The 14,237-nt window shown below is 43.0% G+C and overlaps 1 protein-coding gene across 7 annotated transcripts in view; it reads right to left on the reverse strand.

Annotated features, from left to right (window-relative positions):
• Positions 1-13,292, reverse strand: part of SLC18A1 (solute carrier family 18 member A1) — a 38,282-nt gene extending 24,990 nt beyond the window's left edge. For 3 of the 7 annotated variants that reach the window (NM_001142324.2, NM_001142325.2, NM_001135691.3), the window contains exons 1-9: positions 13,219-13,292; positions 11,905-12,108; positions 10,997-11,243; positions 9,277-9,640; positions 8,591-8,649; positions 4,517-4,600; positions 3,192-3,284; positions 1,561-1,650; positions 1,259-1,302 (exon numbers count right to left, since the gene is read on the reverse strand). In NM_001142324.2, coding sequence (NP_001135796.1) covers positions 1,259-1,302; positions 1,561-1,650; positions 3,192-3,284; positions 4,517-4,600; positions 8,591-8,649; positions 9,277-9,640; positions 10,997-11,120 — 858 coding nt within the window. In that variant the 5' untranslated portion in view covers positions 11,121-11,243; positions 11,905-12,108; positions 13,219-13,292. The remainder of the gene's footprint in view (positions 1-1,258; positions 1,303-1,560; positions 1,651-3,191; positions 3,285-4,516; positions 4,601-8,590; positions 8,650-9,276; positions 9,641-10,996; positions 11,244-11,904; positions 12,109-13,218) is intronic. The other 4 variants (NM_001437771.1, NM_003053.4, NM_001438746.1 and 1 more) reach the window with 2 other exon arrangements.
• Positions 13,293-14,237: the final 945 nt, after the last annotated feature.

A 14,237-nucleotide genomic window follows, 5' to 3' on the forward strand; every position in this document is an offset into this window, starting at 1 on the left:
CTCCAGCCTGGGTGACAGAGCAAGACTCCGTCTCAAAAAAGTAGATATTTATGGGTGCCTCACTTTCCTGGAATCTCAAGCTGGATTTACTTGCTGAGTAATTCACCACTGCTGCACAGTTAATAATAAACAGTGGCTGAACCACCTGGATGAGTGTCCCTACGCCTGGGCCAGGGCTGGAGGGGTGCTGGGCCCAAGCATATGCCAGGCCTGGGAGCCTGTGCAGAGGGTATTTGGTGCTCCTTGCCCTGAGGAGTCCTGGATGGGTGGTGGTTATGACTTCCCTCTCCAGGACCCAGACATCCTACTCCTAAAGCCAGTCTGTAAAGAGCAGAGCATCTCAGGAGACTGCGGGAGGCTCCTAGTTGCTCTGGGGGAATTGGCACTCTAAAAGTATTGATTATGTCATAGTTTCAAATTCTTTCAGATGCTTCTCTGTTCACCCTCGATTTCATTATCTGTAGAGTGAGGCTAAAAATTGTACTTATTTCATGGAATGTGTAAGATGCAGCATAGATGGCGCACTAAGCTGAGCTCCTGGTGCGTGAAAAGCCCTGAAGAATGATGAGGTGTTAGTGTCATGACTTCCGGAATACCTTGACAAGCTGTGGAATGCAAAGTCAAGGCCTTTAGATCAAACATTTTTACACTTGATGCACTTTCTTACTTTTTTTCCTTCGTGGTGGGATATGGATTTTCCAGAGCTGTTTTTGGCTTAGAGTCAAACAAGTACCAACTCTGATATTTATTAACTGTGACAGAATGACAGTTAGGGATATTCACACAGGATGTCTTTTATTGCAGAAGATGTTGTCTAGGTGGCCCCCACAGCCTTCATCTCTGAGATGATGTTACAGCTCCAAATACTCAGTCCCCAATGTCATTATCTCCTAGCTATAATTACATGTGTGTGTGCACATATATATATATATATGGAGATCTCCAGATATACATGAATATATATATACATACCCCATATATGTGTCGAATATATAGATAGATAGATAGATAGATTCTCTATGGCTTCTTTGATTATGCACAAGGTTCTTCCACCATCTTTGTCCAACATCAAGCCAAATACGTCACTATCCCCCACACTACCTGAAACGTAACCCTATCCTGGAATCCAAACACAGTTCTCACTTTCGCTGACCCTATTCCTCTTCACTTTTCTTCTTATGGTTTGGCAGGCATGCCTGGGTTCCTGCATTCAGCCATCCTGTATAACTGTTAGAAATGGAGCTTTGTGTCTGCTTACCTCAGGAGAGACTTTGGAAGGCTGTAGGATGCAAAGCTGGAGTGCTAAGAAACAAAGAAGGTGAGACAGTTCAGCGTGTCTACTGATTAGCTGGGGGCTCCAATAACAGCTGTAGTGCTACCACCCTATTATGCATAAATTTAACTCCCTGAGTTTCTTCTTTCTTTTCTACAACGGGGCAGTCCTTGATCCATCAAAACATGTCCAAACCGCCCATTCTTAGTGAAGACTGACACTACAACATAATGCATTCCCAACCTGACCTGGGCTGTCACCTGCTGGAGGCTCTGATGGTGACTTACCTCCATCCAGTAGTGCCAGGAAGGCCAGGATGAGGAAGGGTGCAGACTTCCCAACAAACTCGTACATTACACTTCCAAAGGGAGCTCCCACTGGAGAGGCATAGGAGACACAGATTCCAGAGGTGAGGGTGAGTCCTTTGCAGTGAGAATTATCCATATTTACCCCGTGAGCATTTGCAGAAGGCCTGCTAGGGGCTAAGCTCCACCTGAGGCTCTGGGAATTCAGAGATGGAGACATGATCCCTGTCCCCATCAAGCCCACTTTCTAGTGGAGGAAGTGTGTGTGTGTGTGTGTGTGTGCGCGCGCGTGTGTGTATGTATGTGTGTGTGTGTGTAGGGAGGGACACAGATAATTAAAGCATGGTGAAAGTTTGACAGTAAAATGTTGCATGCAATGAAAGCACAGTCAATGTCTCAGGAATTTCAGGCAGCCACGAGGGCTTTGCCAAGTGTAGAGTATCTGGAGGGGAAGAAGCTTGTGTGAAGAACACAGAGGTGTCAGAAAAGAGTGTGTAGTTGGAGAAGAAAAAGAAGAAAGCGGGTGTTAGCAGAGTATGAATATTTGCGAGGAGAAAAGTAGAGCCTTGCATATGCAGGAACCTTGTATATGCAGATGAGTCATGTACTTGGCCTTGCGGCCTATGGAGAAACATCAGGTGAGAAACATCACCTGCTCTGGGCTCAGGAAGATTGTTCAGGCAGCATCGTGGTGGAAGGAGGGAGTACACAAGAGGGAGGATGCTGCCAGATTCTAACCCAGAAGTGACAAGGAGCCAGGAGTGGCTGTTGAGGATCTAACAAGCTTGTTCATTTGGGAGCTTATTCATTTGGGACATGATAAAGGATTTCAAGATGCACAGGGTTTAGCTTGGGCATTTGGGTTGATGGATACTAGCAAATAACAGGGATTCTGTTTCCTCTGCTTCCCATGGGGCTAGAGGGTGGGGCATAGGCCGGGGAAGAAATTTCAGGTGTTTTGTTTTCGATGAGCTTGTAAGCTCCTAGAGGGCAGGAACTATGCCTGGGGCTTCCCACCCTACAGTACTGGCACTGTGCTTGGCATGTAATAAGTGAAAGCATGTAGCTTGTCAATTAAGTTGTATGAGGGAGGAGCCTCAAAGAAAGGGTAGTTTTATCGTTTGGGGCTTGGGTTTCCAAGCCCAGAAAATCGGAGTCTGTATCCTGGCTGTGGCGTTTCCTAGCTGTGTGATGTTGGATGGTGTTTTCGCCATTCTTATTTTCATCTCTATAATGGGGAAAATCATTCCTCCTTTCATTCCTGGTGGTGAGGAATAAAAGAGATTATGCGTGTAACAGATTTAGCAGAGCATCTGGCAGCAGCCATGCTCTGGTGCTGTGTGCATGGGAACCGAGGCGAAGCAGTGGCCTCTAAATCGGGGAGGCTCACTTCCTCCAACAGGCTGGGCTTCCGGACCTTTCTCCGACGTTTATGTGTTTCCCAGCTTCTTAAGGAGAAGGAAATTTAACCTTTTCTCAGTGATATTTCTAAAGGAGTTGAAATAGGATGAGGCCAACAAGGGAAGGAAAATACTCGTCTTCTACACCTCGGGAACACCTGCTTCCTAGAGTCCCACCCTCCCGAACCCAGAGCTCCAGCTGGTGCCACTTACCCAGCAACCCCAAGGCCAGGCCCCCCAGAGCAGTTCCCATGGCTCGTCCTCTCTCATGGTCATCAGTGTAGACACTGGCCAGCATTCCAAGACCTGCGCAGAGAGTTACAGATGCAGCTGGCCCCCTGGGGGGCTTCTATCCGCCTCTCAGAGCCCTTGGTCCCACCCTGTTATCTCTTCAGTGACAATCTTAGCTAGAGTTTCAGTTTGAGGGGTTTTACAAAACTTAACCCGTAGTATTTTTCAAGTACTACCCTCCCTAGTCCCCCAAGCCCCCACATTGTCCACTCCTGTTCAGAATATTGTTGATAGTGCAAGCCCTCTGGAAGGATAACACAGAAAATCCATTGTCTGATTATACCATGTTTCATAACATTTTATCATTTCCTAGCACATTTCCCAAAATGAGGGGTTACAGAGCAGATCAGGGAAAGGAAAATCTAGGCACACAGAGACCATTCTATTTAACAGGGGTGCCCAGGGAAGAGCAGGAAAGCACTGCAGACCTGGAAGAAAGTGTGGGCTAGTGCTGTACGGCAGCTGGACCCTCTGGCCTTCATAGCTATGGGTAAAATGGCATAAAATGCCAACTTCATAAGATTGCATTAGATATTATATTCACCAGTACTTTGAAAACTGTGCTGGTGTTACCAGTAGTACTAACATGATTATTCCTATAAAGTACTAAGAGGGGGACAGAAAAAGGACCATAGAGTGGCACTAAATGAAAGCCTGCCCTTCTTCATAGCTTCACTGGAGGCTTGCTCTGACCTGAGCTAGCTGCATCTGAATATTAGCAGAGGAAGTTATGTCAGGCTCAGAGATCTATGGACCCTGTTAGAAACTCTGTAATTCCTTTCTTTTTTTTTTTTTTTTTTTGAGTTAGGGTCTAGCTCTGTCACCCAGGCTGAAGTGCAGAGGCACAATCATGGCTCACTGCAGCCTTGACCACCCAAGCTCAAGCCATCCTCCCACTTTAGCCTCCCAAGTAGCTGGGACCACAGGTGCACACCACCATGCCTGGCTAACTTATTCTCTCTTTTTTTTAATAGAAATAGGGCTCTCACTATGTTGCCCAGGCTGCCCGGGTTGGTCTCAGACTCCTAGAATCAAGCTATCCTCCTGCCTTGGCTTCCCAAAGTGCAGGGGTTACAGGTGTGAGCCACTGTGCCCAGCCCAATTCCCTTATTTCTGAATCACAATTTCTACCTATCCAGGTGACATTTTCCTTAATTTCTCCATGTAAATATAGGATCTGAGGTAGTAAGAGATGTGTGTGTGTGCATGCCTGCATGTGTGTGTGCATGATGAGTTGCCAGTGTTACCTGCAACAGATGAAAATGAAGATCCAATGCCTTGAAGGGTTCGGGCCACAAAGAGTAGAGTATAGGTCCCAGAAAAAGCAAACACTGGGCAGAGAGAATAGCAAGATAACTGCAGTTAGCAAATTGCCTTTGCTTCCCCAGCCGCCAGAGAACATGCCCGTGATACTGCAGATATGAGTCTTGATGCATATGTTTTTAATAAAGCATGATGACTGTTCCCTGTTTTTTGAGTTGTCTTTTCAATCTCCCACTCCTCAGTTTTGCTATTTAAATGGCAAGAAAACTGAGAAACCACAGAAGTATAAACCGAGTCACCACACAGCAGATGGAAGGCTGAGTCTGTACATCTCTTGCCAAGAACCCAACATTCTGTCCACTGAAATGAGGGATGTCCATGAAGCTCAGTGTCCTAGGCTGGAAACTGGTTCTTAGATCATACTCCTGGATCGTCCATGTGCAAAATCCAGATCTGGTCTTTACCATTGCTGGGTCCCACAGGATCATCTGGAGTACAGTGACAGTAAGTAGGTGCTTCGAGGATTATAGGAATTGGGTAGAAAATAATATCTTGTGATACAATCAGATCCTTTTTTATATCTTATATTGAACGATCTTTTAACCAGACAAAATCAGCAGGTATTAAATTATACTGAATGCGCAGCTCTGCTAGACTCTGTAGCAAATGCAAAATAAAAATAACATCTAGTTATTGTCCGTGAAGAGAGGCAGTGTGTTGAAGATGGACACCCAGGAAACTGAGATCCAACAGGAATATGTCATCCAAAACAATAAGAGAAATATGGCTCTGTCCTGCCAGGCTCCCAGACAGTCAGACCTAATGGTTATCTCCCCTTGCTCCCTGAACATCTCCATTATCCTATTCTTTTTTCAAGGTTCTGAGATCTCATATTGTTCAAACACACACGCTTTATGAACAATTTGTGCAGTTAACGCAATCCTCACAGGGTCCTGAGTCGACATACATCCTCAGTTTACGAAGACCATGGGATTAAGAGATTAAAGTAAAGACAGGCATAGGAAATTATAAGAGTATTGATAATTGGGGAAGTGATAAATGTCCATGAAATCTTCACAATTTTATGTTCAGAGATTGCAGTAAAGACAAGTGTGAGAAATTATAAAAGTATTAATTTGGGGAACTAATAAATGTCCATGAAATCTTCATGATTTATGTTCTTCTGTCATGGCTTCAGCAGGTCCTTCCATTCAGGGTCCCTGACTTCCCGCAACACAAAACTAAATCAGAGGGTGCTGGTGGTCAGGGTAGTTAAGTCCAGACATGTCTCACCTCCAATTCCAGAAAAATGTCTCCTAGGGTAAGAATAATCTCCTCGAAGTGTCTGAATCAGAAGAATTGTAATCCCTTTGCCCATTCATTACAGATGTCTTTGGTTGTGTTTTTAATCTTCTCCCATTACTTCCCGGCAGACATGATCACACCGAACTTCTCCTTGTCTCCCAAAGATGCACATTCTTGGTCTCTTCTTTCCTGGCCACCAGCATCTTTTCTCAGACTTTGTTATTTCCAGTCTTTTCTGTCTACTCTCCCAATGTCCTTTGAGAATAGAGTGACCCACTCATCTTGGTCTGCCCAGAACTTCCTTGTTTTTAAAACTGAAACTCAAAATACCCCACAAAAACAGGAAGTCTTACATCCTGGGAAGCCCCTCACTACAGTGTGGACATGGGTTGTTTGTCCCCACCAAATCTCATGTTGAAATTTGATCCCCGGTGTTGGAGATGGGGCCCAGTGGAAGGTGTTTGGGTTATGGGGAAGGATCCCTCATGAATACTTTAATGTCTTCCTTTGGTGGTGAGTGAGTTCTCACTCTACAGTTCTCTCAAGAGCTGCTGGTTAAAAAAAGGCTGGCACCTCCCTCTCCTCTCTCTTTCTTCCTCTCTCATCTCTGCACAGCCAGCTCCCCTTCACCTTCCACCATGAGTGGAAGCTCCCTGAGGCCCGCACCAGAAGCAGATGCTGGTGTCATGCTTCTTGTAGAGCCTGCAGAACCATGAGCCAACAAACCTCTTTCTAATATAAATGACCCAGCCTCAGGTACTCCTTTATAGCAATGCTAAATGGACTAAGACACCCCTCAATTCTAGGCAAACCAGGAGAGTTGGTCATTCTATTTAGGAATACCAAAGCAATTATTTTTTTCACTTTGGACCCTTTACATGGGCCACCATTTCACTCTTGATTACATTAGGCATGGCTCCTAGTTGGGGGGTGGAGGGTTTAAGGGTAGTAACGGGCATCAACAATCTCTTTTAAGTATTTTTTAGAACATTGGACAAGGATACCCTAAACATCAAATGTATTTTCTTTTGGTTAGAATTAGGCCAACTCCATATAGCAACACAGCTATCCTATGGAAATAATAATTATTTAACATATATAGTTTGGTATAAGTTAAACAATAATTACTTAACATATACAGTTTACTTTAAAAGTAAAGCTTTTAACACATGAATTCTTGGCAGAGAATCAGGCAAGGATATCATGCTAAAACGTCTCAGATCCACTAGCACACCGCATTGTCTTACTTCTCAGTGTGTGTCTCATGTCTCCCCAGGCAACCATCATATACACTTCTGATAGCTGGAATCATGTCTTTTCATTCTTTATGTGACTATGGCCATCTGGGCATTATACATGCACTGCATAAAGTTGTTTGGAATAAATCTTAAGCCTCATTTGATGAAATAGGGCACCTGGCATCTTATTATTTTTAAATTTGCTGTCTAACTTAGGCTGAACTGCTAGAAGTTCCATGAACAGTGCTAATTTGAATTTCTTCATTTTCTTCAAGTCCACTAAAATTTCACAAACAAGACGTAGTTCTCAGAGACAACCTCACATCTCAAGTTCTTGCAGTTTGCAGCCTTCCAGCCCAGAATGCAACAAATTCTTGTTAAATATTGGGTTGCTAGGAATCAAGTTCTGTGCTGGGAAAGAAGAAAAGTTGAGGAAGAGGAAGACAGAAAGTAGACAAGGAACAGAAAGGTAATAAGAAAAATGAGAGGCATGTTCTCACTCATAGGTGGGAATTGAACAGAGAACACATGGACACCGGAAGGGGAACTTCACACACCGGGGCCTGTCATGGAGTCGGGGGAGAGGGGAGGGATAGCATTAGGAGATATACCTAATGTAAATGATGAGTTAATGGGTGCAGTACTCCAACATGGCACATGTATACATACGTAACAAACCTGCACGTTGTGCACGTGTACCCTAGAACTTAAAGTATAATTAAAAAGAAAAGAAAAGAAAAGAAAAACGCGAGGGAGAAGGAGGTGTGTTGTTGGAGAGCAGAGGTTCAGCAGGGCCATCGGGAACCAAGGCTGGATCCACAGGCTGCCTTCCCCTGCCTTAACCTGCTAACGCTAACCCTTTTCATTCCTTCTTCCTTTACTTCTCAGCATCAATTTCCAGACTTACTTTTCTCATGTACTGTGTTTATCCCATCTCCATTTTATTAGAAACATTTAGCTGATCCTGGATAGAGTATTTGTCTTTCTCTTTCTTGTTTCTTTAGCAAATTTACTTTTCTAAGCTTAACCTTTAAAGCCCTTAACTGAAAAGCAGTAGGCTTTTTGGAATTTTCCAGATGTTATTGTCCAATTTCCATTTTTTTGTGAGTTGCCCTTTTCCATGGCATAACAAAATAATATCATTGCTTCTCATAGATGGAAAGTTTGTATTAAACTTGCTCAAGGGATTACTGATGCATATAACACACACACACACACACACACACACACACCCCGTAGCATACATATTCAAACAGCTCTCATTATGTCCAGCTGAAGTGAAGTGAATAAAATATCTGTTCTTCTATAGCAGAATAGACCAATTCCAACTAGACTGAATTGTCACTACTGTTCTAGTCCACATACCAAAAACAGCAGAGCATTTAAACCAATATTCCAGTCTGCTTAGTCAGATGCCTAATTACATTCTAGGTTACCCTGCTATCTACACCGCATTCACTTGATAAAATCAAAGGTAATCAGTGAAGGGAAGAAAAGAGGAAGCAAATTACTTACTAACTGTGGAGAGAAACATGATAACAAAGCCAGCAAACATGGGGATATGATATCCAATCCTAAAAGGGAATTGAAAAAAAAAAAGATACAATTCCAACAGGCACTCACATACATGGACTACATTTTTAAATGTAAGTGGGAGCAGAAATGCAGCTATTTGGGTGTATGGTAAAACATGCCTCTGAATGTAGTGTGGAGATGAAATAGGGCATGTGGATGAGTATGAGCAAACAAACAAACATGCAGATATGACCATAGATCAGGGCCAAAATTCTCATTTCCAGAAATGATAGCCTAGGTGGAGTGTATATCTCTTGAAAATATCAGAATAATCGTCAATACAACTCCTGGGAAGCCAGTGCTCTAGATTACAACAGGACTGTCCCATTCATACCCTTTTCCCATTCAAGCCATGCTCCAGGTCACTGATAGAACATCACAGCACACTGCTGTTCATGGTTCTCTTCTTGGTACTCAATACTCAATATATCACTAAGAAAATCTGATCCCATAACATTTCATCAGTAACATGTTATTCTTTGAGTAACGAGCTTTCCGAATAGCTGACTCCCCTGAGGAATCATACAAGTGAGTATTTCTTCTTTTTCCCTTCCAACCCCCTTTCTATACTTTTCTAGTCCTCCTACTCCTGTGTACCCTGCGGGGCACTGCACCCAGTGAGATACCTGTTGGTGAGAGGGCCCACGAATGGGTTGACCAGAAGTTGCATCACAGCCTTTGAAGCAAACAGAACCCCGACCCGGGTAATCTCTTCCTCCAAGAAACCTGTGCCTTGCAAGCAGTTGTTTTTATGAGCTGAGATGGCTTCAGTGGCTGGAGGTGGGATGGTGCTGGCAGTGTCATTCATCCATGCTATTCCACTAGGTACGCTTTCTTCAACAGCCACGGTGTTGTTGTTGAAGAAGGAGAAGATGGTGGAAAAGGCAGGAGAGGCGAGGGCATGTGGGGAACTTCCGGCATGGCCGAGGTGCAGAGAAGAGTTGACTTCTTTGAACTCCATGTCATATAGGAAGGTGGGCACAATTGGCACTGAAAGTCAAAGAGGACAGGTGATGGGGGCTAAGGACCGATGTCATCTTACCACTGAAACTCAAGGGGCTAAGGACAGATGTCAATTCTACTGAAAGTCAAGGAGGACAGGTGATGGGGGCTAAGGACAGATGTCATCTTACCACTACTAGGATCAGGGGACTATGATGAGGTTCAGCCTTATGCCCAAGGCTGGTATCTGGAGTGGCATGGTTAAAACCTACTAAAAGACTGTGCCTGCCCAAGTTATCCTATTAGCTAAAGTAGCTAAATTCTGACCTTATACAGTTAGTCCTCATTGTTCATGGTTTCCACATTGGCTAACTCTCCTACTCACTTAGATTGACATGTAACCCCCCAAACCAACACACACTGAGCTACCACGACATTTCACAGACATGTCCAGCTCTCACACAGACCTGGCCACAGGAGGGGATGGGAGGAGGAAGGGCAGGGTGGTCAGAGGAGCCTCAGCTCTGGGACCCCTGGACAGGGTTTGAATCCCAACTCTGGCACCTGCTAGTGGAGAGGCCTTGGGCAAGTCACTTAACACTTCTGAACTTCTTTTTCTCTTTTATAAAGAAAACACGATGTACCACGATGTTTAAGATTTAAGATTATAATTGTGTGTGTGTGTGTGTGTGTGTGTGTGTGTGTGTTTCCCTGGGAGCAATGATTCAGTATTCACTAATTCAGTGTTTGCAGCGACTTTATAGAGCATAACTATAACTACAGAACTATGAATAATGAGAAGTGATTGTATTGGATTAACAACTTGTCTCAGAAAGATCCTTTTTTAAAAACATATGTTTTACCCAAGAGGAGAAACCTTTTAGTGCCCATTTATACAAGGGTGTAACTTAATGTAATGATTAGGAGAGTATCAACTAAAAAAAGCAGGATTCTGAGGGAAAGAACCACAAGGAAGGCAAGGTCTTGATACTAAATCAGATATCCAAATAAAATATGCTGTTTTTATAGAGCAGAGTCCAGAAAGGCACCCCTGTGAGAAGATCTCGCTGCCTCAGAGGCACTTGGAGTCATTAGCACCTTGAGAAGACAGTGTGGGGAGAAAGAAAAGCACAGCCAGTTCTGGCTCCGGGCCATCCTCTTCTCCAGTCAGACCCTCTCTGGACCTCCTGCTCTTTGAACCTCCTGAGTCTTTTAGCTGTGTTTGACAAGTGTCAGACTCCATTTTCTGCAGGGCTTTTTTCCAGTCCCCAACAACCTCTGTGTGTTTTTGAGCATAAAAAGGAAAATTCTCAGATGGATTCACTGTTGAACTCAAGCAGGGTGTACACTGCCTGCTGGGGCCCACAGCAAATTAACCCTCAGCACAAAGACCCACAAACGTACCCACCACAGTAAACAGCATGTTGTCCAGGAGCAAAGCGACGAATACCACCACCAGCACCAGCTGCCGGGACGCTCTCCCCTCCTTCAGCAACCGCTGGGGAGCATCCAGAATGGTCCGGAGCATGGTGATGGCCGGACTGGGGCAGTCTTCCCCTGCGGGCTCTTAGGGAAGGTCCTGTGACAGCTACAGGTCTCCTGCAGCCTTTATGGAAGAGGGGAGGGAGTCTGCCCAGACGAAGGAAACTCACTATTAAAACGAAAAGTGCAAAGGGTTGCAAGTAGTAGGATGATATTTGGAAACATCTCCATGTCTGTATCACTGTTCACTTCTTATAAATCTCAATAACTCTACCTGGTTCCCAGAATGCCTTCCTGGTAAGCATCGCTTACTAGCTATTTATGTCTGGATTTATATCTAGCCATTAATTTCCCTTGAATTTAATGGCTAGGTATAAATCCAGATAAAAATAGATGCTCTACAGATCACTTAACCCTGTGTTTTTCAAACATCCGACATTTATTTGCCTATCACCTTGATGGTTTATGTCATATCTAAGGACTACCTGTACTATCATTTACTTCATCTTTTTCCTCTAGATCCACTCTTTTAAAATATTGAGATACTGCCAGGTATGGTGGGATGTGCCTGGAGTCTCAGTTACTTGGGAGGCTGAGGTGGGAGGATATCTTGAGCCCAGGAGTTTGAGTCCAGCCTGGACTACATAGCAAGACCCCTAACTCTCAAAAAATTTTTAAAACCAACATAGATATTGATATCATGTTTCAAAAAGTTATTTTATGTGGCATGCAAAAAAAGTATGACCTTTGTTCTAGGTGCTACCCCAAAATATTTCATGTGGCACAGTGTCACTTGGGCTGCCCACTGAGAAACACTGATGTAGACCAACCTTCATCTCATAGACAAGAAATCCGAGCCTCTGAAGGTTAGGAGATTTGTTTGGGGTTGCACAGTTAGTGTCAAACTGGGATGAAATCCCACGCTTTTCAACTTGCCAGCTTATCCTCTACCATGTTCCCTTGCTCTGTGGTTCTAGAAGCACGCTCATTCTTTTGTTTGAGCTACAAACCCCTGATCAGAAAGATGCCTTCATCTGTGAAAATAAAATATTGACTTTCATGATTAGTTCTCTATTCAGGATTTCATATCATTAGTCAGCATTAAGTCACAGTACCTTGTCAAACTTCAAGTAATAAGAGTTTCTGGGGAGAATTTCATTTTCTTTGACGTGGCTTCTGTTGTGGTATCAACAATATCACTCATTTAAATTTTAAAATAGATTACCATCATGAAATCTATCAGGCCCTAAAAATTGTATACTCTTTGACTTAGTAACTCTACTACAAGGAACCCATCCTACAAAAGAAAAAAGGTCAGAGATGCAGCCAAAGACTTATACTCAAAATGATCAATTGCAGAATTATTTTTCTTAGTGAAAAAAGTCAAACATGTTAATGGTGGATTATTAAGCGGCTCTTAAAAATTATATTTTCAAATAATTTTAATGATACAGAAAATACTATTACTATAACGTTAAGTAAAAAAGGGAAATTAAACTGTGTTTTCAACTTTATCTCAATTGTCTAAATATAAATATATGGGCACATTTTTGAGAGAGTAGAGAGATACTCAAATGCCAGTTATTTATAATCAATGACTTCAGTTATCTTCTGTGTATTTCTAAATATTCAATAATGAGCTACTTTTGTAATTAAAGAAGTAAATAATTTTAAATGATTATCACTGAAATTCAATAGTCAGCCTCAGGTGTTGGGAGTACCCCAAACACTGAGGTACTCTGTTCTAAGCCCAGGGCTGGAAGAACCCTCTCACTACTACATATTAACGTGACCAAGGTCCTAAGTGAACCAAATTCTCAGTTAAGTTTTAACCAGTAAATGCATGCAATTACTTAAGATCCTTCATTTCTCTATATAAAGGAGGTATTTCTGAATACAAATTGACTTAGGATATGTATGGATAAGAATAAAAGACAAGCCATGGAAAATTAAAAAACATAGTGAGTGAAGTAAGTACTACAAAGAGAGAGAAACACACACACCCAAATCCCAAAACAAAAACAAACAAAACCAGGAATTTGCCAACAAATCAATAGTAAACTTTACTTAACAGTCAAAATCCTCTGACAGAGACACAAATCACAAGGAAAGATTAAATTTGTCCGGAGAGAGAAAAATCTTACCTTGGAGCCCATGTTGGTGTGAGGCACTCAGTGAGGTATTGGCAGCTGTTAGCAAGACAGCAGGGACACTGTTCTCTGAACGTGGATGTGCTGTTGGATTTATTGCCTCCTGTTATCTGAGGATTCTGTGTATGTGTGTGTGTGTGTGCCTTTGTCCACAAAGATTTAATTGCAACCTCCAACAGGGTTCATTCAGACCCTTAGCTCCCTGCGTCAAAGGCAGGAAGGCAGGGCTGGAGAGGATAAAGAGAGGGCAGATATTAGCCTAAGCAAAGAGGCACTGGACTGTACTGTTTTGCATCTGTGCTTATCTATCATCGAACTCTTTAACTCTTGCCTGGGTCTGAATACAAATTGGAAGCCAAGATGGAACCAGTGTGCAGTTCCTGTTCCTTGCTACTTAGTCAAAGTGGCTCCATGTACCCCAATTAGCTTCCTGGAAAGAAACAATGTATGTTGTTCTCAAGCCATAAAAACCCAACATCTGTGGCCTCTGTAAAGGCTTAGATTATGCACTGTGTCTTCACATCTCAATACTGGCTCAGTGCCTGATACATGGTAGCATCCAATAAATATTTCTTGCATGGATGACTGGATGGTTAACTACAGGAGAAAGTGCAGTTCCTTGTGGGATCTTGAGAGGCTCTAATGATCTATATTATTCTGACATTAAACCATTGGTGGCTCAAAGAACATAAGCAATTTATGAAAAAGCAAATACACTTTACGAGCAAGAGCAGTGCAGAGATTTCCTATTTGTGGAACTGGTGGGCCCCTCCTAATTGTGGGAATTAACTAGGGAACTTTCGATTTAACGCTAAAAAAAAAGAAAATAGTTTTTTAATTTTATTTTTTTTATTTTTGAGACAGAGTCTCGCTATGTCACCCAGGCTAGAGTGCAGTGGCATGATCTTGGCTCACTGCAACCTCCACCACCTGGGTTCAAGCAATCCTCTAATCTCAACCTCCTGAGTAGCTGGGATTACAGGTGCATGCCACCATGCTCAGCTAATTTTTGT

This window comes from Homo sapiens, chromosome 8, assembly GCF_000001405.40.
Source record: "Homo sapiens chromosome 8, GRCh38.p14 Primary Assembly".
Lineage (NCBI taxonomy): Eukaryota > Metazoa > Chordata > Mammalia > Primates > Hominidae > Homo > Homo sapiens.